Source organism: Homo sapiens, chromosome 18, assembly GCF_000001405.40.
Source record: "Homo sapiens chromosome 18, GRCh38.p14 Primary Assembly".
Classification (NCBI taxonomy): Eukaryota; Metazoa; Chordata; class Mammalia; order Primates; family Hominidae; genus Homo; species Homo sapiens.
Window position 1 is genome coordinate 70,547,615 of NC_000018.10, and position 25,322 is coordinate 70,572,936.

The window sequence follows — 25,322 nt, forward strand, 5'->3', positions numbered from 1 at the left end:
TGTGGAGACCTCTAATGTATGAAGCTGTGGTGGTGGCTGGTAGCAGGAGGGTGGGAATGGATCAGTTTACACTAGGAAATCATATTCTTTAGAGAGTTCAGTTACCACAGCTCTTCCCAAGACCAGCTAGGAGATTTGTGGATGTGTATTATGGTAGCACTAGTTGAGGTCCAGTGACAAGAAAGGGAATGAAAGATCTTGAAACACAATTTCCTAGAGAAAAGCATGAGTCAAGGTTTGGGACTCAAACTCAAGGGATGGACCTAAGAGTTCAAAGTGTGATGTTGTTCCAATACAACTGATGCTAGAAAGTTCTCTCATTTCAGCCACCTTAGCACAGTGGCTGGACCATTAGCTGAGCATGAGAGTATGAAATAAAATAAACTGCTGTCCCAACGTTGAATCTGAGTCTTCTGTTGTGGCTTGTCTTGGGACCTGGACCAAAAAGGCATCCTGGCATTAGTAGACAAGCGTCATACATGAGATGCTGTATGATCACTCACAGCACACACAGTGTGGAAAAGAGAAGCAACAGCAGCAGTGAATTTATTGAGTACCTGTTTGGACACAGGACTGAGCTCTCATCGGATTAAGTAAGACCTTATGCTTTTCAGGCATATTGTACATGGGGGTATGTGCCATGGGCAGGGAGAAGGATCTCATGAGGACAATGAGACTTCCTGTTAGGCAGTGGGGATCACGTGGCTCGTCTGACATTTAAAGAGATACTTTAAACTTCTTTAGTGATATATGGCCTTCTAGTGTCATAGACTGTGATTGTTCAACAAAGAATGTTTTAAGGCAGGATATGCAATGATGTGAAAGCACAGTCTTATCGACTCTTCACCATTAAAAAAAAAAATCAATATTTCCCACCACACTTATTTACTGCTAACTGAATAGTGGTACCACAGAAATACAAAGAGAAAGAAATTCTCAACTTTTCAAGTTGCAAAGTTGACTTCCGTAGTCCATAGCAGAAGTAATTACCTTGAGAGAAAATACTTTCTGAGACCCAGATCCAGGTGGGTTTTGGAGAATGAAATAAAGTTGCAATCTACTGAATGTGGAGATACAATAGGTGTAATAAAAATACTTGAAGATCCTTAAATTCCAGGAAATAAACATTAGTAAGCTCAAAATTAAGGAATTTGGTCTCTTCTCTTTGCATTTATTTGCATTAATGCGTAAATGCTGAGGAGTCTCTAAAGCAGTTGTAATTTCTGCTTTAGAAAGCTGCGGAATGCTCAGAGGAAGAACTGGAGACTGATAAAACTGTGGATATTAGAAATAATAGTGGGATGGGATAAAAATGTGAGTATCAGAAAAGTGATATCAGAAGGGCATCGGATAAAAAAATCTGACACTTTGGGAGGCCAAGGCGGGCAGATCACGAGGTCAGGAGATTGAGACCATCCTGACCAACATGGTGAAACCCTGTCTCTACTAAAAATACAAAAATTAGCTGGGCATGGTGGCACATGCCTGTAATTGCAGCTACTCAGGAGGCTGAGGTAGGAAAATCACTTGAACCCTGGAGGCGGAGGTTGCAGTGAGCCGAGGCACTCCAGCCTGGGTGAAAAGAGTGAAACTCCGTCTCAAAATCAATCAATCAATCTGACAGTTCCCTCTGATCTCATTCTAGCTCGTTCCTTGATTCAGTTTGTTACCACCAGCATCCAAAAAAGAATCTAAGTTCATGTGTGGAGGAAGTGAAAACGTTCACATCCTATAGACTGACAATAGCACACCAGTTATAATTGTGCTGAACTCATGGATACTACGTAGATCCTCAGATATTTATGTCAGCAAATTCTAATGTAAACTGATGAATCCCAAGTGGTCTTAAAACATTTCCACGTGGAATTAAGAACTCAAATTCAGGGGGACATCCATGGACTATGAAGAAGGGAGAGTGTACTGACCAGGCAGGTGAGCAGATGAGCAGATGAGCAGAACCAACCTGGATGATCAGAGTTCATAGCCAGGTGTGATGGTTAATACTGAGTGTCAACTTGATTGGATTGACGGATGCAGAGTATTGGTCTGGAGTGTGTCTGTGAGGGTGTTGCCAAAGGAGATTAACATTTGAGTCAGTGTGCTGGGAAATGCAGACCCACCCTTAATCTGGTTGGGCACCATTTAATCAGTTGATAGTGCTGCTAGAATATAAAGCAGGCAGAAAAATGTGAAAAGGCTCAACTAGCTTAGCCTCCCAGCCTACATCTTTCTCCTGTGCTGGATGCTTCCTGCCCGTGAACGCTGGACTCCAAGTTTTTCAGCTTTGGAACTTGGACTGGCTTCCTTGCTCCTCAGCTTGCAGAGGGCCTATTGTGGGACCTTGTGATTGTGTGAGTTAATACTCCTTAATAAACTCCCCTTTGTATATATATCTATCCTATTAGTTCTGGCCCTCTAGAGAACCCTGACTAATATACCAGGTGAACTTTATTTTTTTATAGATTGGATTATAAGATGTGATGATTTTCATATTAATGGGGCTTGCTAGCAGTTGTTACTCAAGGAGAATTGCTATTGTGTAGAATTGCTATTGTGTTTCCATTTATTGATACAATATTGTGAATGAATTATCTCTTTCATATTACATACCATAGAAGTTGGGATCAATTTTTACTTTCACCATTTCATTGAAGACCACAAAAATGTAAGGCAAAAGAACAAAGGGAACTCTAACATCTTAACTTGGTAACAAGAGCCATCTTTGTTTCTAGGTGATGCTGGCAACTTGTAGGTGAAACTACAACCAGTTTCAATGTAACATTCATATTTCTGTTGTTTGACATTCATGGAATGATAGTAGTATTGTCAAAAGAACAATCCATCAGAGAAGCTTTGATGTGTTAGCCAAGGCCTCATCCACCAGCTTTGTGCAAAAACAAAAATGGAAGTGTGAGGATCCTCTTAAAGAAGGGGTCTCCATGAAAAAATGCTCATTACCACTGGCCTTAAGAGAAATGCAAATCAAAACCACAATGAGATACCATCTCACACCAGTTAGAATGGCGATCATTAAAAAGTCAGGAAACAACAGGTGCTGGAGAGGATGTGAAATAGGAACACTTTTGCACTCTTGGTGGGACTGTAAAGTAGTTCAACCATTGTGGAAGACAGTGTGGCGATTCCTCAAGGATCTAGAACTAGAAATATCACTTGACCCAGCCATCCCCCTAGTGGGTATATACCCAAAGGATTATAAATCATGCTGCTATAAAGACACATGCACACATATGTTTATTGCAGCACTATTCACAATAGCAAAGACTTGGAACCAACCCAAATGTCCATCAATGATAGACTGGATTAAGAAAATGTGGGACATATACACCATGGAATACTATGCAGCCATAAAAAAGGATGAGTTCATGTCCTTTGTAGGGACATGCATGAAGCTGGAAACCATCATTCTGAGCAAACTATCGCAAGGACAGAAAACCAAACACCGCATGTTCTCACTCATAGGTGGGAATTGAACAATGAGAACACTTGGACACTGGGTGGGGAACATCACACACTGGGGTCTGTTGTGGGGTGGGGGGAGAGGGGAGGGATAGCATTAGGAGATATACCTAATGTAAATGACGAGTTAATGGGTGCAGCACACCAACATGGCACATGTGTATATATGTAACAAACCTGCACATTGTGCACATGTACCCTAGAACTTAAAGTATAATAAAAAAAAATCAAAATCAAAAACAGAAAAAAAGTATCTCCATCGCTGTATAACTGAAAGTCTCTCACTCTCAGGCCATGATTTCTTCTTGGTTATTTCATTATATTTTGCAAAAACCTTAATAGTGAGGACTAAATAAAAGTTTATCTGTTTTGGTCCCCTATTGTGAATCTGTCTTATGTTTGAGATTTATTTCCTCAATTAGGCCTTTGAACATTAATATATATCACAGAGCTTAAACACAGCCATGTTAGGCATTTCCATTTAACACAGAGCTTTTAGTGTGGTTCATGATGAATATTTTGCATTTTTCTTTTTTCTAAAGACCTAGGGAATTGTTATATAAGTTGTTAGTAATATGTCTGCAAGAACAAAGCAATATGGCTTAAACAGCTCAAAATCATGCTATGAAAGCTCCACTCTATCCAATTCATACACAATTCAGCAGCATTTTCCTCTGCTTTCCCCTGGGAAAATGTGAAATATGATGCCCTATAGGATTGTAGATTGGTAATGCTAATATTTGTTCTTCCCCAAATTTACTTGCAAGAAGTTAAGAGCATTGGCTTAAGGGTTAGAGGATGAAAATTCTGGGCCCAATTCTGTTGTTTTTTTGCTGTGACCTCAGACAAGTCATACAATTTATTGGAAGCAAAATTTTCTCTTTGAGATGGGTACATCTCAAAGAATGTTGTCATCTACTTAACATTCTCCCAAGTCGTGAAAATCAAAGATAATATTACATGGCACTGTGTTTGAAAATAGGAATCTATGATCATTAGAGAAATGCAAATCAAAACTGCAATGAGATACCATCCCACAACAGTGAGAATGGCTATTATTAAAAAGTTAAAAAATAACAGATACTGGTGAGGTTGCAGAGAAAAAGGAACACTTATACACTGTTGGTGGGAATGTAAATTAGTTCAACCATTGTAGAAAACAGTATGGCAATTCCTCAAAGACCTAAAGATGAACTACCATTTGATCCAGCAATCCCCTTACTGAGTATCTACCCAAAGGAATATAAATAATTCTATCATAAAGACACATGCACATGCATGTTCATTGCAGCACTATTCACAATAGCAAAGATATGGAATCAACCTAAATGCCCATCAATGATAGATTGGATCAAGAAAATGTGGTACATATACACCATGGGATACTGTGCAGCCATAAAAAAGAACGAGATCATGTCTTTTTTAGGAACATAGATGGAGCTGGAGGCTTATCCTTAGCAAACTAATGCAGGAAAAGAAAATCAAATACCACATATTCTTACTTATAAGTGGGAGTTAAATGAGAACACATGGACATATGGAGGGGAACAACACACACTGGGGGCTGTTGGAGGGTGGAGGGAGGGAGGAGAGAGAGGACCAGGAAAAATGACTAATGGGTACTAGGCTTAATACCTGGGTGAAGAAATAATCTGTATGATAAACTTCTATCATACAAGTCTAGCTATGTGACAAACCTGCACTTGTACCCCTGAATTTAAAAGTTTAAAAAATAGAGAGTCCATACACATAATGAAAAATTAATGAGTTGATCTAGAAAAGAGGGTGAATTGGCCGGACACGGTGGCTCACACCTGCAATCCCAGCACTTTGGGAGGCTGAGGCGGGCGGATCACGAGGTCAGGAGATCGAGACCATCCTGGCTAACATGGTGAAACTCTGTCTCTACTAAAAATACAACAAATTAGCTGGGCGTGGTGGCAGGCGCCTGTAGTCTCAGCTACTCGGGAGGCTGAGGCAGGACAGTGGCGTGAACCCAGGAGGTGGAGCTTGCAGTGAGCCGAGATCACACCACTGCACTCCAGCCTGGGCGACAGAGCCAGATTCCATCTCAAAAAAACAAAAACAAAAACAAAAAAAGAAGGTGAATTGTTGTATGTAATAAACTGAATATGTTCTCAATTGCCCATAGAGCAATTGCCCACCTCCACCCCAGGTTCATGCCCGTGGTTTCCACACTTCAGTCTAAATTATCCATCTCCTCCTTTAAGAGGTTGATATTCTAGTAGTGCTATAGGGAGTTATATAGTAGTTCGTAAGATACATCAATGCAGCCTAATTGTCAGGGTTACCCAAGAGTTGTAAGTAGTTACTAACAATCGGAAGTCCATGATTTTTACATTTGTATCATTTCCTTCCTGTGGTGAATGTTTTGTTATATCTAAGGTCTGATGAGTCTTGAAGACAAGACTGATGAATTCACAGATTTCTCTATCTGCCCTGATAGTAGAACTCTCTCAAATCTGTACATTGGAGCACCACATTGCTTTGAATTTGAATATTTAATCTTGTAGCATTCTTTTTAATTGAAGTTTTTTAACCTCTCAGCAAAATCTTTAAAAATTTTTATTTTTTTCAGTAAACAAATCTTTATCTGACAAAGGAAATAGCTGGAGACGTACCTTCACAAAACCACCGCCGACGTTCCCCTGACGTGTGCTGCCCCAGTTTTATAAATTAGAAATCTGGTCATCGCAGCTTAGTTTCTAAGCAGTACCAGCTGTCTTCTCTTTCGAACACTGCAAAGATGCTTTGAAGCTGCTTCTGTATTGTTGGCAACATTAGCACAGAAAGATTTGAAGACTGTAATAGCTGGAAAAGGTTACACAGCCTCACATAATTGACTATGGCAATATAAAATATTGCCTGCTCTGTTTAGTAACAAAGTAGATAATGCTTTCTTTGGGATTCGAAGGGAAACAAAGTAAAGCCGAATTGCCTTTGCTGTGAAGCTTCCAGGTTAAAAGCTGCAAATCTGTGCTGTAAAGCGTGTCTTCCCTGGCTGTGTATAGTAAATTACCATCCCATCCTGCTGTGTGGACAATATGTTTCTAGCTTAATGAGTCAGATGCTTTGTGTTTCCTCCTGCTATTTAGTGCAAGGCAAATGGGTGCATAAAAAGAACAGAATCCAGTGGACATCATTGTTTTAGTTTATTTACCTTCAAATAATTCTCAGATAAAATAATTATGTGGATTTTTAAAAATCAAAATCCACAATGTTGTATTTATTTTCTTTGTATAAAGAAAAAATTCAAAATGAATCACAGATAGATAGGAGTTGCTTTGAATTACAGCAGTAATTGTTAATCACATGCTAGCTACCTCATTCACAAGGTCTTAGCAGGTAAATTTTTAGTGAAAAAAAAAGTTCTTTGTTATGGTTACTGTTGCATTATTTAAAATCAAAGGGCAAGTTAGACTTAATCTTACTTTTGCTTTTTGTGGTTTAAGGTTTATTTGTTTGCTGAGGTTTGATAGGCATTTAGGAAAACATCTTTGAAAAGACTGGATCAGTTCTTTCCATATTCATTACTATACCTTTAAAAATGAATGTGACAAGACACTCTTAAAACCATTATGGGAACTCCTCTGAGGAGCTATTAATAATTCAAACATTATTCAAACAATTTTTGCAAGACAAAACCACTGTGGGGCACTTTGGAGGCAGGTATAGGGGCAAAATAAAAATGTTCTTATATTGATATGTAAAACCAAGAATCACAAAATCAAATTCATTCTAAGGTAGAAGATAAACACCACTATTGGCTACTACCAGGCTTTGCAAAAGAACAATAAAAAGACTACTTCCCAGGTATTTTAGAGGTAATAGAAATAAACCTTTAAAGAGAAGGGTAAAATATTTATTGAGGAGTGCTCTGTACACTCTAGAATTACACAGGGCTGGTGACAGTGATTAAATGTTCCATGGCTACATAGAGAGATGCTGAGGTTTTAATGTACAAGATATTGATTACACGATGAATCCCAACAGTTTGTTTCCTGCAGTTGCTTGCAGCATGGGGAGAAATGAAAATAACAAGTACAATTCTGTAGGCTACATTGCATGCAAAATGGAGCAGGTGATGAGCTAATTGAGGGATGAATTTCCTTCTCCCATTCATAAATGTGAGAGTTGCATAATGAGTTAATCTGTCTGAAATGAGGAAGTATAATTATACCATATAATGATTAAAGATGACAATGAAATATTGTGATTTTCAGTTCAGCTTTAAGACTGGCCTCTTATTTGGTTTTCATTAAATATTTCAATGTGCAATGGTACCCACTAGGATTTTCCCCACTGGCGGAATTCAAGTGTATAAATTAGAGAGGGCCCTTAATTAGAGGAAAATATGAAAAAAATTGCATGTCTTAAAATGACTTGATGTTATTTATGATTTCAAAGTTCTTATGTAGATGGATAACATATAGACTACATTAAATTTCAGTTACTCCCTTGATTTTCCTTATCACCTTTTACTTTCTTTATGCTTAACATCAAGCTTTAATTTTATTTAGTTATTTATTGAGACAAGGTGTCGCTCTGTCACCCAGGCTGGGGTACAATGGCACAATCACAGCTCACTGCAGCCACGACCTCCCAGGCTCAGGTGATCCTACCTCAGCCTCCTGAGTAGCTTGGAGTACAGGTGCCTGCCAGCAGCCTGGCTAATTTTTGTATTTTTTGTAGAGACAAGGTTTCACCATGTTGCCCAGGCTGGTCTCGAACTCATGGGCTCTAGCGATCTGCCTGCCTCAGCCTCCAAAAGTGCTAGGATTACAGGCATGATGGCAAGCTATAATTTTAAATATAGTTACCCCCAAGTTAAGAAGCAAATGGTTATGAAGGAAAACAGAAACACAGGATCAGCAGCAGGTGGCTAGATGCAGATCAGAAATTGACTATGAGGAAAAAAGAACTGAGACAGCCTAAAAATGACTGAAACAACTTCCCTATCCATGTGGTTCCAGCTCACTCTGTCCAATATGCTCACGTTTTCATCACATTCCCCACTGACCAGTTTTTGTAAAAGACCAGTCCCTTCACAGGAGTAAAGCAACAGCTGTCCTAGTCCTGTTTTCATTTTCTTTTTTAGTGTTTATAGGAAAATTAATGGAGTCAGTTGCCAAAGGGAGCATCAAAGTTGAGCAGAAAATAAAATAAGACCCTTGTAGAAAGTTCTTGGTAATACTGTTGTTTCCTTTAAAAGCTGTACCTTAGTAGTTGATGAAATGAAAAAGTAAAGTGAAGTTCAAGGGTGAGAGTTTATGGTTAATGAGTTTTGGATGGAATTTTGTCCCAAGGCATTTGTCTCCTTGCATTCCTTTATACAAGAATATGATTAGATATTTTTAGAGATCATAGACTGTATCTATTTTTATATGCAAATATTTTAAATTCAATTTGTTGTGATTTATAGTATTTGAAGTATAGTGTGGCATACATAGTATGGTATAGTATACTGTATACTTGCAAGTATTCATATTGTAGATGGCATGACAATATTATGCTGATTTTTAAAGGTGAGAGCAATGTGAATGCTTTCTTGTGATTACCTACTGGGAATGGTAAGCTGCCATGTGAAGAATGATGTATTAGTGATTATCTTTGTCTAGAGCTTAAAGGATTGATGTCATTGAATATATTTAAGGTTTTCAAATTAAAACTTAATATTTGTCACAGATAAAAATGTTAGAGAAAGGAAAATATTTATAAACAACATTTTTATTAATAAAACTTCCAGATATATATAAAATTAGAGATCATGTCATGGTAAGCTCCTATACCCAGTCATTCAGCTTCAATAATTATCAGCGTTCCTCACCTGGGGAACTACTTTGAGGCAAATCCCAGACATGATAGCATTTCTTTTATAAATATTTCAGTGTGTATCTCCAAAGGAAACCATCTTCTTAGAAAAAAATAAAGCCACTATACCATCATTATGCTTAAAACTTAGCAATGATTTCCTAATATGACAATGATTCCTTAATGTCACCAAGCATCAATGAGTGTTCAGATTATCCCAATTGCCTTTATATGTTTTTTTAGTGTTTGTTTGTTTGAATCAGGAACAAATGAGTTTGCACCTAGGGAACCCATTTTTTTGTAACAAAAACTCTTGTTAGAAAAGAATTTGCCTTTTGGGGCTTAGAAATCCATTTCTACAAATACATCTGATGGCTCTGCCTTATCTTTATAGATTTGGTTATCTTTCTTGAAAATGTGCACCTCTTCTTAGGTATTTTCCTCTGAAGAATCATTCAGACCAAGGAACCTTTTGGGTGTTGGCTTTCTTTTATGAATCCTACAAAAGAAATGCAACTCTCTACCGTAAAAAGTGACCCATGAGTCTGATGACATTTAATTTGAGCACTTAACGTTTACGTGGTGACCACAGCTACTATGAATCTAAAGTGTATTCTTTCATCTATTTTATCTTGTCAAAAATTTCATGACTTTGACCTTTTCTTTCCCTACAATCTCTACATATATAGGAGAATTTTAAAAGTATTTTTGGCAATCAGGATTTTCTTCTGATCGTTGTGTGAAAAAGAAACATTTATGATCTTGAAAAAAGCATATGTTAACTTCCTTTGAATTCTTTAGATCAGCTAAAAGATGAATTTGCCATTTTAAGAATATGATATTGAAAAGATCTGTCTTCAAAGTGAACCCATGCAGGAATACTTTTTTATCTTAGGGAATTTATATTTTTTAAAGGAACCAGCAATCAAATTTGAAAACCAGTATGTACCCAATGGATCAGACTTTTCAAAGAATCATGTCTCAAAAAATAGAGCTTTTGATTTCTTAAAATGATCTCTGAAGTTCCATTTTGAAATACATAAATCAACAAATTGAATTTTAATGGAAAATCAAGGGTGTTTTTCTAAAGGCTCTTGAATGAAGCTTTGAAAAATATAAAGGCAGGGAATTATCAGCTTGTTATAACAGCATTAACTTCACTCCAACAATTTTATTTTTAGGTAAGAAAGGATATAATATCAAGGATAAATGAGGAAAGCATCTTGCTTGTTTAAAATCACAGAACTGGTACATCCCACTTTTCCCCCTCTGTGGATGTCCTTACCAGCCTCTGAACCACCTGAGTGACCACCAACCACTAAAATCTTAATCGTGTATTCATAACTTCAAAATAGTTGTAGTTGCTGTTCTATAGTTGTCATTGTATATGTATCTTTTTACTATAAAATCATGAACTAGAAGATTAGACAACCATGCTGTATTCAATACATTCCGTAAAACAATAAAAATATAATTTTTCTCCCATCCATTTGGCAGTATAATATTCAAAATATGAAAATGCATGGATTTCATGCACATTAATTGTTTGAAAAATAATGCTGTGAGATTTATATTTATGATATTATTACCATATATGAGTAGGACCTGAAACTGAGAGGTTAGATGACTCAACCAGTGTTGCACAGTAACAGACAGAGGACTTCTCCAAGTTTGGGTATCACTGCAAATCACACATGCATTCCACTTCAATGTACCACCTCTCATACTAATGCATATACAAGGGAAAGGACAATCAGAAAAATGAAAATCATAAAATTTCAGACCAAAGAGAGCTTTTCTTTGAGTGGGAAAAATTGAAGAAGTAAGTCAATAAGAAGTCAAAATGGAGAGTAATTGCTGAAGGGTTAAATCTCTTTTTGAGTATGATAAGGGCCTTACATTTATAATGGTCATCTGCATTTGTTTCTCCTGTGTATCTGCTCAATGGGGAAAAAAGATAACCACGTTAGCTGTTTCTTAAGTTTCCTACATAGGATAATTACAAAGAACCATATAGTCATCGAGAAAGTTATTTTTTTAGCTAAGCCAATGCCAGTGTGTCCTAATGAACAAAGGCTATTATTAAATCTTAAATTCAAATGTATGTAGGTAGTTGAGTAATATGTCACATATCATTATGCTTTAATCTTGAATGTGTATGTATTTTATTCATGAATCAGTGGAAATATTTAAGTTGTGTATGGAAAGGAATAAAAAGAGAAACACTATCTGTTTTGTTATATGCACATTTTGCTTCTTGAGTTTTGGGCTTTGCTTCATCCACTCTATGGCCTGATATCTTTATTTTCTTGTTCACAGGGTAGGTTTGCTTAGGAGTGGTGTGTGTGTCTGTGTGTGTGTGTGTTTGTACAAAGACCTTAAAAGTTCTCTGAATTTGAGGTGCTATGGGGTAATGATTCATTTAACAGAAATTGATTTCATCTGGAATTCTCCTGATAAATGTTATTGAAACAAAATGATTTTATATTCTTACTTTAATAACATGATGCTGTTTGGTACAAACTTTTAAAAAATATGATCATGTGTGAAAACTCATGAGAGTTTGAATAATCACCATGAACATCTCAAGTCCTCAGTAGTTTCATATGAAGATTTCACAGTGCTGGCTTGTTAGTATTGTTCATTTCCATGGATAATTTCATTTGGTGTCCTCTGTACTGTGTAGGAGCAGATGGTGTGTTTGCTTACTGCTCGGCCCAAGGTTTTCCTGTGGGATGGGCTCTCTTAGTGCACAGGAGTGTTTAGTGGCTGCATTGTGTGCTTGGGGTGAGAGAGGGAGATGAAGCCTTTTCCTGCATTATGCTCTAGGAGTCTTCTGCAAGGATTCTATGCTGAAGAAGGAGGCTGTCTAAACTCAGATGAATTCTCTGAGCATACATCCAACTTACGTGTTTTTATGGGCATGAATTTTTTCCATTCTTCAGCTATATCCCTTTATTTCATTTCATTAAAAGATTAAAAATGGGCAAAAGATCTGAATAGACATATCTTGAAAGACATACCAATTGCCAATAGGTATATGAAAAAATACTCAACGTCACTAGTCATCAGGGAAGTGCAAATCAAAACCACAATGAGATACCATCTCACCTTCGTTAAAATGACTTTCATCAAAAAGATAAAAAATAATGGATGCTGATGAGGATGCAGAGGAGGAGGAGCATTGTATACTCTTCGTGGGAATGTAAATTAGTACAACCACTGTGGAAAACAGTATGGGGGTTCCTCCAAAAAACAAAAATAGAAATACCATATGATCCAGCAACCCCACTACTGGGTATATACCCAGAAGAAAGGAAATCAGTTTATCAAAGAAACATCTGCACTTCCATGTTTACTGTAGTACTATTCACAATAGCCAAGATTTGGAATCAGTTTAAATGTCTATCAACAGATGGATAAAGGAAATTGGTATATGTACACAATGGCATATTATCCAGCTACAAAAATAATGAAATCCTGTCATTTTCGTCAACATAGAACTGGCGGTCATTATGTTAAGCGAAATAAGCCAGACACAGAAAGACAAATACTGCATATTCTCACTCATATGTGGGAGCTAAAAATGTAGATCTCATGGAGGAAGAGAGTTGACTGGTGATTACCAGAAGCTGGGAAGGGTAGGAGTAAGAGGGGATGAAGAGAGATTAGTTCATGGTTATAAAAATACAGTTAGCTAGAAGGAATAAGATGCAGAGTTCAATAGTACAACAGGGTGACTATAGTTGACAATAATGTATCATATAGTTCAAGTAGCCATAAGAGATGAATTGCAATATTCCCAATGTAGAGAACAAAAATAAGTTTGAAGTGATGGATATCTCAATTACCCAGATTTGATCTTTACACATTGTATGCATGTATCAAAATATCACTTTTACCCCCAAAATATGTACAACTCTTGTATGTCAATAAAAAGTTTTAAAAATCAATTGCATTTGGCGCCCGGCCAAAATTACATTATAGAATAGTGTTTGATATAATGGCGGTAAAGAAGTGTAGCTGCAGCAAAGCTAGTCCTTGTGAGGGTCCACATTGCTAGGTGAGAGGGTTAGGGGTGCTTTTTCCCTTTATTTGATAACAAAACCATTTATCATATTTCCTCTTGTAGGTTTTCTCTCTTTTCTAATATTAATACAGCAAATATTTCATTGGAACATTCAGACTCATATAATTATTCTGTTTAGGATGATTGTGAAATTTATGAATAGAACTTCTAGCACAGTGTCATTCTTTGAATTGGAGGGTGATTCTATTTCTGTGCAAAATCATGTTAAGAAGCTATGTTTTGTGACATAAAAATCATTAGATTTTTGGGAAAACTTTATCAACAACATTTGGAATGGCAGGAAGTACAAATAAGCAAGATCTAAATTTAACAGTAGGGTAAATCCATCTCATAAGGACTTTGAATTGACTTTGGAAAATGATCAGGGAATGCTGGATTTCTTGATAAATATCTGAGGCTCAAGGAGCCTAACCCTGTTTTTCCTCATGAGCAATAATTCAGTATTTGCTAGTTTAAGTGTTCATGGTGACTTTCTAGCACATAAACACCATGAAGTATAAGAATTGACTCAATATAGAAGACTGGTGCCAGAGGTTTTGTGTAAGTTTTGTAGCAATATTTCTACGTTCGGTGGCCTCTTGTATGCCTACCTTGGTTTGGTCTGCATTGATTTTAGTGCATCTTAAAGAGTTTCATTTGCAGTGTGGCTTTCCTCTACCTCCTGGAGTTATACAAGGCAAACAAAAGGTGGCTTGGGCTGGAGTCATTCCTGATAGGGATTTTTAGTCATACCTCTATTGGATAGGCCCATTTTAAAGAGTAATATAGGACTTTTACCTTGATTACTAAAATAGTACAACAACAACTCCCCTCTTGCTCCAAGAAAACCTAGCAAAAAGATATCCCCTTCATTAATTGATTGCTGGCTCTTGTCTTTGAGATAAATCAGAGAGAGGTAGCAAAGGGTATATCTGTTCTACTAGTCTGTCTAGAATAAAAACAGAAAGCCAGTTTGGGAAGTTTACTTATGGTGATTCAGGCTGCAATGCACCTAGGGCATAAACGTTTAGCTCTTTGTTTGACTTGATAATTCCTTAAAGTTCTCCTTGCAAGTTTGCTTGACTTTGAGGGCTCAGTGAAGGAAAAATGTGTTCCTAGGTTGAGCTCTCCCAGTGATTGGAATTCCCACAAAATGTTAAACAGTAATATGTCTCTTGCCTTCCTGGGGCTTGTGTCTGCAGAGTATCCCCAGTAATTTCCTTCTTGTGCCTGACCTGGTGATTATTCATGAGAATTCTCACCTGCTTAAAGTTCCACTGATCTCTGCTCCAATACAATGACTTGGTTCAGGCATGGTCTAGAATCTTTCTTACTTCAAACTGTGCTGTGGATCATCCCTTATTTTATAGTGGGAGACTTTAGCTCCTCAGATGTAAATTGAATGACTCACAGAAATGTTACACGAAAAGCCAGTGATATGGTTTGGGTTTGTGTCCCCACCCAAATCTCATCTTGAATTGTAATTCCCATAATCCCCACATGTGGTAGGGGGGATGTGGTGGGAGGTGATTGGATCAGAGGGGCTGTTTCCCCCATGCTGTTCTCGTGATAGTGAGTGACTTCTAACAAGATCTAATAGCTTTATAAAGGGCTCTTCCCTCTTTGCTTGTTGGTTCTCTTGCCTGCCACCACATAAGATGTGCCTTTGCTTCTTTTTCGCCTTCTGCCATGATTGTTGGTTTCCTGAGGCCTCCCCAGCCATGCAGAACTGTGAGTCGATTAAACCTCTTTTCTTTATAAATTACCCAGCATTGGGTATGTCTTCATTAGCAATGTGGGAATGGACTAATACAGCCAGTGATGATACTGACACATCTAATAGTTTTTCCAGAGTGAGACTTTCAAGGATTAAGACTCTTTCCTAGAATATAGCTAGCTCTAGTACCCAAAGGAAAGTAAATACAGAGAATTGGATTAAATAAAGCCAAAAAATTGACTTCACATATCCAAAGCTTTAGACTTACGTTTGTCTCCCCCTACTCCACCCTCAATCATTAGGGAACTTAGAAGCTGTAGCAGTGGTTGGTTATTCTACTCTGTCAGACATCTGGAACCCTGACCTTTTGATAAGTGCCTATTTCTTTTAGTCTTGAGAAGTTTCCCTGAAGGCTGGTTATAATCTGTATTTCCACTATAAATATTTCTCAATATTTAAATTATTTCAGACTCCTTGGATATCTGGACATATCTGGATGATATTTTAAGTGCTACTCATTATTGTCCAATTTAATAGGATATCTGAGTGCTAGAATTGGCAGGGGATTAAAAATGCTTCACTTTCAGTCTTTGAGCAAAGTAGAACATTGCTTTCCTAAGGCAATTCTAGACCACAAATACCAGTTGTAGATTTCTATTGCTGGGGAAAAGTTATTTTGGTTTTTTCTTGGCTGCCACATAAATCTAGGAGGAAGATGACCTTAGTTTGCCATCATCTAGTACCTTCCGCCCTCTCAATGTTAAACCATACAAAAAAATGAGGATCTTTCATATTTAAAGAAGCCTTCTAGAGGTTGAAGCACTAAAAATCCTTATTAGTTTGTTTCTCCTCTGGAATCCTATTAATAATAAGATTACTAGGACCATAACATTATAAAGACCTTAAAAATGATAAGTTCTCTGAGTACAGGAAATATGTATTTATAGCAGATGAGTAAAAATAATATAATTATTGTTTTAAAAATGTTTCACTACCCTATTTAATTTCTAGGATCTCATTTAAGAAATTTAAGATATTTGTTATGAAACTTCTTTAAGAAATTAGAAAAATGGTAGGAAAAAATGATCAATTAATAAAACTAGAACTTACAAAATTATTCTGAAAAATATCAGAGCAGTTCCCATCTGAGGTGCTATTCTCTTGATAATAATTGTCATGCAAACAGAAAATTGCATTACAAAAATGGCTTCTTGTTTTTATTATTGCCTTAAAAAGAGTAAAATCATATATGACAATTTAAAAATTATAATATGATTGCTATAGTACTTGTAGCTGTTTCTCTAATATTCTATCTTTCAAATTAAAGTATAACAATGTAAAATGACTTAAAAGACTCTACTGTAGGGTCTAAGCACCAATAGGAGTTCCAACAGGATAACTGGTTATTCTCTGAATGTATAAATACATATGACAAGATGCACTATGCCATTGAGTTATGCAATCTGTTTTAGTATTGATTTCTTACATTTTATTTTATGCTTTTGATAAAACCAATTTCAAGAGCGTATTACTAAAGCGTATTGGTTTCTTCTGAACGGCAGTAAGCACAAAGGTTGAATATCTTGTGTGTTTGTGTGGAGGTATATGTATGTGTATGTGGGAATGTATGTATATAATTTTTATATTATGTGTATGTATTATAAAATACATAATATAGTTATATATTAGTTTTTATAAAATTTGCATGAATTTCCAAGAAATCTGAGGTGTAGTTAAAAATGAAATTAGTGGATGACACTTTTTGGAGTGATAAATTTAGAAATGAAATGTAACATGAAAGTCTTTTTAAAAGAGTTCAGTAAGTAGTAAATTCACAATTCCTTTTTTACTACTTTTTTTTGCAGTATTCAACAAACTATCATTGTTTCATTGGCTGAAAATATATGAATGAAAGCCAAAGAACTATGTAATGACACTGGGCTATTAGTTCTTGCAAATCCTATAGGCTAACACCACTTCAACAGAGTGGGCAGAAACGATCATCTGATCTGATTACAATGTCTATTTATGTAGCATTTAGTTTCTTTTTTGTTTTTTTTAAAGGATTTCATAAATATATTATTCATGCTAAAGGAATAACAATACTCCGAATTTTATAGCACTTGAGACGATATTGCAGAGAAATATTACACCCGTTTTTATCTTCACCATAAAGCTTGTTGAAAAGTAGGTCAGGAATTCGTGTTCTATTTTAAAACATAATTTAAATATTTCAACAGCACATGTGCAAACATGACAGTTCATGTCATGTTTTTGCTCCCACAATGACATTGATCATACATAACCACTGTCAACAATTTCCCTCAATCATTTCATAATATTTCTAAAATCTATATTATAGACCTCAGTGTTCATATATAGAATATATATTTGCACAAATATTTGCCTATTTTTTGATACATATAGGTTGTTTTATTTCTTTACTTTCTTTAGAACAAACCTGGATTGTGCTATGTATTTTGTCCTATATCTTTAACGCAACTTTTAAAGGCCATCTTTGTAAATTGGAACATACACATGTAAATTAATTTTTTAAGGTTTCACTCTTTTGCATAGATGTCTCCAATTTATTTAACTAATTGCTCCCCTACTGATAGATGCTTAGATATCTCTGTTTATATGTCATTTTAAAGATGTTCTAGATACATTGTGGTTTATTTATGCCAGTTGTTCCATTAGCTAGATTCTTTTTATTATTATTATTATTATTATAATACTTTAAGTTCTAGGGTACATGTGCACAACGTGCAGGTTTGTTACATATGTATACATGTGCCATGTTGGTGTGCTGCACCCATTAACTCATCATTTACATTAGGTGTTCCTCCTAATGCTATCTCTCCCCCATCCCCCAATCCCATGACAGGCCCTGGTGTGTGATGTTCCCCACCCTGTGTCCATGTGTTCTCACTGTTCAGTTCCCACCTATGAGTGAGAACATGCGGTGTTTGGTTTTCTGTCCTTGCGATAGTTTGCTCAGAATGATGGTTTCCAGCTTCATCCATGTCCCTACAAAGGACATGAACTCATCCTTTTTTGTGGCTGTATAGTATTCCATGGTGTATATGTCCCACATTTTCTTAATCCAGTCTATCATTGATGGACATTTGGGTTGGTTCCAAGTCTTTGCTATTGTGAATATTGCCACAGGAAACAGACAGTGTGGCAATTCCTCAAGGATCTAGAACTAGAAATACCATTTGACCCAGTGGTCCCATTACTGGGTATATACCCAAATGATTATAAATCATGTTACTATAGCTAGATTCTTAGATGTGCAATTTTTAAGTCAGAAAGGTTTGCACATTCAAAATTCGATAGCTATTTTAAAGCTACCTGGCCCCAAATAGAGTATTATTTTGTACTGTCAAAGATGGTATATATGCATTTACACTGCTCCATGCTACTGTTGATACTTGCTATAATGAATTTTTTAAATTCTATGCAATCTGCATCGTATTGTTTTCTGTTTGGATTTTCTCTGACTACTAGTAAGACTGAGCAGCTTTTTGAATTTTTAATAATCATTTGTATTTTCATTTTTTGATTTACCTATAAATAGTCTTTATTATTTCATTGTTTATTTCCTTTGGTAATTAATAGTAGCTCTTTTGCTATTCTGAATTTTTTGTGTTATATATATTATGAATATTTTCTTTTATGCTTTTGCTTGTTACTTAACTTTGCTTATGGTGCCTTTGTTATACCTAAGTTTTCAAATGTATGCAATCAAAATAATTTTTTCCCCTTTATGGCTTTATACTTTGTGCACTGATTAAAAATTATTTTTATAACACAAGATATTGAAAATATTATCTATTTTCTCATGCCATTTTTATGGGTTAGCTTTTCAAACTATTCGGAATAAATTTTTGTGTTTGACATAAAGTTGTGATCTAACTTATATTTTCCCCAATGGATAGTGAATGGTCTCAACATCATTTACTGAATTATTACCCTGTTGAGGTAAAATGAAATGCTACTTTTATCATACACTAAATTTATATTAAACCTTGGTCTTTTCCTAGATTTCTAGTATGCTGTGTCGATCTATTTGCTAAATTCTGCCCTGACTTTATAATTAGAAATACTTCAAATCTTCATGTCATGTTTTGATAATTAAAAACAAGTTCCCACCCTGATTCCTCATCTATCGTGTTTGGCGAGCTTTGAGCATTTTATCTCCTAGATGTATTTTAGAATCAACTTGCCAGTCACTCTAAAAATATGCTGTTTGGATTTTGTGTGGGACTGAATGAACACTATTGTTTAATTTTGATGATTATTACATATGTTCTGCCTACTTCTAAGAATTTGAGCCTGGTCAGGAGGAAAATTTAGTTGTTCATTGTGTTATTGTTATTAATCTATTTTCTATTTATTCATTTATTTATTTTATAGATTAAAATATTTAGAGTTTAAAATTTTTTGGCATTTTTTTAAATATGTAGAGTGAGGTACAGATTTTAAGTTTTTTCCCTTTACAGTGAGTACCTAATTGTTCCAGTTGCATTTATTGTATAATCAATCATTTCCCTACTATTTTGAATTACCAAATTTATCATATACTAACTTCTTGCTATGCTTGCATGTATTTCTATAATTTCTTTTCTCATCCACTAACCTATTTGTTTAAATCTACGTATATCAAATTATCATTTGTTTTATTATCTACAAGGTTAATTCCCATGTACTCTTCTGTTTAATTTTTCTACTTTCTCACATATTTATTTTTTCAGGTTTTTGTTGTCGTTATTATTATTATTATTATTTTGAGATGGAGTCTCGCACTGTCTCCTGGGCTGGAGTGCAATGGAGCTATCTCGGCTCACTGCAAGCTCCGCCTCCCGGGTTCACACCATTTTCCTGCCTCAGCCTCCCTAGTAGCTGGGACTACAGGCGCACACCACCACACCCTGCTAATTTTTTGTATTTTTAGTAGAGACGGGGTTTCATGATGTTGGCCAGACTGGTCTCCAACTCCTGACCTCGTGATCCACCCACCTCGGCCTCCCAAAGTGCTGGGATTACAGGCGTGAGCCACCGCGCCCGGCCTCAGGTGGTTATTATTAATAGCTCGTAAAATGTGTTTTTGTTGTCTGGGCATGGTGGCTCTTGCCTGTAATCCTAGCACTTTGGGGGAGGCCAACGTGAGCAGATCACGAGGTTAAGAGATTGAGACCATCCTGGCTAACATGGTGAAACCCCATCTCTACTAAAAATACAAAAATTAGCAGGATGTGGTGCTGTGTGCCTGTAGTCCCAGCTACTAGGGAGGCTGAGGCAGGAGAGTGGTGTGAACCCGGGAGGAGGTTGCAGTGAGCCAAGATAGCTCCATTGCACTCCAGCCTGGTACAGAGTGAGATTCCATCTCAAAAAAAAAAAAAAAAAAAGTGTTTTTGTCTTCTTGTTTCCATTTGCATGAAGATTCTTGCTGAAATTGCATTACGTATGTATGTAAGTAGTGTTATATTTACTTAGTTTTTTTTTTTTTTCTTAAAGTAATGCTAAGTGTGTGGGATATTATATAATTCACTACAAGTTAAACTAGTGCTATCTTTGGTCTTCTCAGAGGACTGATACCATGGTTGAGTATAGGATTTCAGAAAGGACTGGAAAGATTGTACCACTGTTTTGTAGAGTTTCATGTGAAAACTTTTATGAATCTTTTCTTTGTAAATGTCTGTTCCTACCATTGAATGTTTGATCCTCTCTTTGTCTTTGTTATTAGACCATTTTATTAGGATTGGTCCAGGTGTTGATCCATTTTTTTTTTCTTGCCTCTTCCTTACTATTTTTTTCTCTACACTTGGTAAAATGTTTAAATCTGGGACATCATGCCTTTCTTTCACTGAGGGGAGTCTTATTTCTTTGGTAATTGCTTCTTTGATACATGTAGGTTATGGAGTTATTTTCTATATTAGTTTTGTACAAAACTATTATTTGGATACTATATCTGTGCCAAAGCTCTATGCCTCTTATTTTTTAATCAAAAATTTTCACTTTTATGTATTCTACGTTATATAACAGCCTTCAAGTTTATGTTCTAGATAGTTAATTGAGTTTTCCTCAGTGTCCATTTCATTTTTCCACTGACTTCTATTGAATTTTTGTTTCTGAAATTCTGTTTTTTTCCAAGTTCTTTTTAAAAAAAAATTTACAAATTGCTTCTCTATTGTGGCAGTCTGGTTGATATTTAATGCAGTATCTTCTTATATATAATGAGTTGCTCAAGTAAGAGATCTCTCTTGCTTTAATAAAATAATTTATTTTCTTTTTCTCTTTTTTTTTCTCTCTTTTTTTTTTATTGATCATTCTTGGGTGTTTCTCGCAGAGGGGGATTTGGCAGGGTCACAGGACAACAGTGGAGGGAAGGTCAGCAGACAAACAAGTGAACAAAGGTCTCTGGTTTTCCTAGACAGAGGACCCTGGGGCCTTCCGCAGTGTTTGTAACCCTGGGTACTTGAGATTAGGGAGTGGTGATGACTCTTAAGGAGCATGCTGCCTTCAAGCGTCTGTTTAACAAAGCACATCTTGCACCGCCCTTAATCCATTTAACCCTGAGTGGACACAGCACATGTTTCAGAGAGCACCGGGTTGGGGGTAAGGTCATAGATCAACAGCATCCCAAGGCAGAAGAATTTTTCTTAGTAAAGAACAAAATGGAGTCTCCTATGTCTACTTCTTTCTACACAGACACAGCAACAATCTGATTTCTCTATCTTTTCCCCACATTTCCCCCTTTTCTATTCCACAAAACTGCCATCGTCATCATGGCCCGTTCTCAACGAGCTGTTGGGTACACCTCCCAGACGGGGTGGCGGCTGGGCAGAGGGGCTCCTCACTTCCCAGAAGGGGCGGCCGGGCAGAGGCGTCCCCCACCTCCCGGACGGGGCGGCTGGCCGGGCGGGGGCTGCCCCCCACCTCCCTCCTGGATGGGGCGGCTGGCTGGGCGGGGGCTGCCCCCCACCTCCCGGACGGGGCGGCTGCTGGGCAGAGACGCTCCTCACTTCCCAGATGGGGCGGCTGCCGGGCGGAGGGGCTCCTCACTTCTCAGATGGGGCAGCTGCTGGGCGGAGGGGCTCCTCACTTCTCAGACGGGGCGGCCGGGCAGAGATGCTCCTCACCTCCCAGACGGGGTCATGGCCGGGCAGAGGCGCTCCTCACATCCCAGACGGGGCGGCGGGGCAGAGGCGCTCCTCACTTCCCAGACGGGGTGGCGGCCGGGCAGAGGCTGCAATCTTGGCACTTTGGGAGGCCAAGGCTGGGAGGTGGAGGTTGTAGCCAGCCGAGATCATGCCACTGCACTCCAGCCTGGGCAACATTGAGCACTGAGTGAACGAGACTCCATCTGCAATCCCGGCACCTCAGGAGGCCGAGGCTGGCAGATTACTCACGGTTAGGAGCTGGAGAGCAGCCCGGCCAACACAGCGAAACCCCGTCTCCACCAAAAAATACGAAAACCAGTCAGGCGTGGTGGCGCGCGCCTGCAATCGCAGGCACTCGGCAGGCTGAGGCAGGAGAATCAGGCAGGGAGGTTGCAGTGAGCAGAGATGGCGGCAGTACAGTCCAGCTTTGGCTCGGCATCAGAGGGAGACGGTGGAAAGAGAGGGAGAGGGAGACCGTGGGGGAGAGGGAGAGGGAGACCGTGGGGGAGAGGGAGAGGGAGACCGTGGGGGAGAGGGAGAGGGAGACCGTGGGGGAGAGGGAGAGGGAGACCGTGGGGAAGAGGGAGAGGGAGAGGAAGAGGGAGAGGGAGAGGGAGAGGGAGAGGGCCAATTGTATTAATTGTAAAGTTGGTATGTCTATTTTCTTTTTCTCTATGAAATGAATGAATATATTTTCATCAAATCTACTTAAAAACTACTCACACATTCCTGATTGTTCAAAGTAGTATCATTTTTTCCAAACACTTTTATTGATTCCACATCTTTTTTCATTGTTCACCCTGTCCACATACACACAGATATACCAGCATTGACAATAGAGGTAAGTAAATGTCAGTTACCTAAGCAACTCCTCAGGTCCTGCTTGTGTCTCTCAAATGTTGAGAAGATAGGAGATATTCTGTTTCTCAAAAGGCTGATGGGCTGAGAGTCTTTAAAGTGTGCAGAGGGGCCGGCAGACTCTCTGGGCTCTTCAGTTAGTGTAAACTGTTGATCCTGTGGCAAGGGCATAGCTTTCTCTGTCAGTCTCTCTGGTGGAGATCTGAAACTTCATCAGGGCTGTGCACAGAAGGCGATGCCTCCAAGGGGACTCCATCTCTAGCAGCAAGGCTATCAGGTTTCTCAGGCTGTCCCTTGAGTTGCATGTTTTTCTCTTAATGTTTGAATAATTGAATCATTTTGGTAGAAAATTGGAGGAGTCGTGAGCACGTCAAAACCCTGCTACAAATATTTTAGATAAACTCCATGCATATACTTCTGTTGTTGTAGATGAATGTATGGGTTAGGGGGTGAGGGGTGCATGCAGCCCATGCCGAGGAAGATTTTTACTATTATTTATCTGAAAGAGTTTCAGAAAACAAATATTTCCATTTCTAATTATGGGCAGAACGAACAGTTCAATATTACTCAATACCAAATCTTTGTTCTTGGCATACACTTTCCCACTGACCCCAAGTGGATCAATTGATTCAAATTCCTGGAGGTATGTTTTGTTATGTGGCTATGAGGAGGTAATGCAACTCAAAAATTATATATTTCTTCACATATGAAGAAAAGCAATTTTCTTTTCCTTTTTTAAAATTGGAAGGATGATAGATGGTAATGCCTGCACTTAAAATTTTTTAAGTAAAATAATATTTCATGATATATGGAAAGACCCAGAATTCTTCAGTATTGTCCAGGTAAGAATGACACTTAAAAAACAATGTAAGAATTTTAGGTTAGTCAGATGGAAAAGCTCCGGATATTTACATATTGATTAAGAAAAATGGAAATGAAGTGTAAATCATTGAATCCTTATAAAAAACAAAAACAATTACATCTATTTCTCTTATTTATATTACATAGAATAGGGAAAAGTAGCAAATCTATAACAACAGAATCAGGATTCCAAAAGTTTACAAGCAAGAATAATGCAATGGCTGTAACTGAATGAAAATTGATTAGTACAAAAGTAAAATTCTGGCTGGGCGTGGTGGCTCACACATGTAATCCCAGCACTTTGGGAGGCTGAGGCGGGCGGATCACCTGAGGTCAGGAGTTTGAGACCAGCCTGGCCAACATGGTGAACCCTGTCTCTACTAAAAATACAAAAATTAGCCGGGCATGGTGGCACGTCCCTGTAATCCCAGCTACTCAGGAGGCTGAGGCAGAAGAATTGCTTGAACACGGGAAGCGGTGGTTGCAGTGAGCTGAGATCATACCACCGCACTTCAGCCTGGACAACAGAGCAAGACTCCGTCTCAAAAAAATAAAAAAATAAGTTCTAAACAACACCACAAGTACAAGACGAAGAAGAGATGAGTGAGATTGAAGTTCACATTATTGGTTATAGATGTTTTTGGATAGTTTTGCAAGCACTGTTTTAATTTAATGGAAAGGGAGATGCTAAAATTGTATATGTATGATACGGTGGAAGTCTTCTCTTTTCTATCACCTCTGAAGACTGGCTCCATGACCTTAGACTGTTAACTTAATTGTTCAGAGCTTCTGTTTCCTCAACAGCCAAATTGGGTCTCATACCACCTATTTGCAATCTTGTCATTATAAAATGAGATAAACTTCCTTTACAGCAAATCTTGAAAAGGTCATTTATATTTAGTCTCTCCATTTTTTTCCTCCCACTCTGTCAGGTTGTCAGTGCTGCCCCTACCGTTGCTGTGGTGAATCCCCCCATGACCTCTGCATTGTTATATCCCATGCTAGATTCTCAGATCTTTAGCTAGGGCAGCATTTTTGACAGATGATCAGTCCTTACTCCCTGAAACATGGTCTTCATTTGGCGTCAAACACTGGTTTACCTCCCAACTTTTGGGCCATTCTTTCTCAGTCTCCTTTGCTTATTTTCCCTCATTTTCCTCAATTCTAGTTGGTGGAGTTCCCAGGCTTCAGTCTTTGTAATTCTTTTCTGAGATGCTGTTCTCAAGCTAATCTCATTAGTCTCATGGCTTTAAATACTGTCTGTATTTCAATGACTCTAAATTGAAATTTCAAACCTGACATCTCCCCTGAGCGCCAGATTGCATATTCTACTCCCTTT

General features: G+C 37.7%; 1 annotated feature.

Annotated features, from left to right (window-relative positions):
• Positions 22,531 to 23,030: an enhancer, noted in NCBI's record as "H3K27ac hESC enhancer chr18:68237381-68237880 (GRCh37/hg19 assembly coordinates)". NCBI's record gives its function as "activates a minimal SCP1, AML or CMV promoter by ChIP-STARR-seq in naive and primed H9 embryonic stem cells {active_cell/tissue: H9 hESC(naive and primed)}" and the evidence as "EXISTENCE:reporter gene assay evidence [ECO:0000049][PMID:30033119]".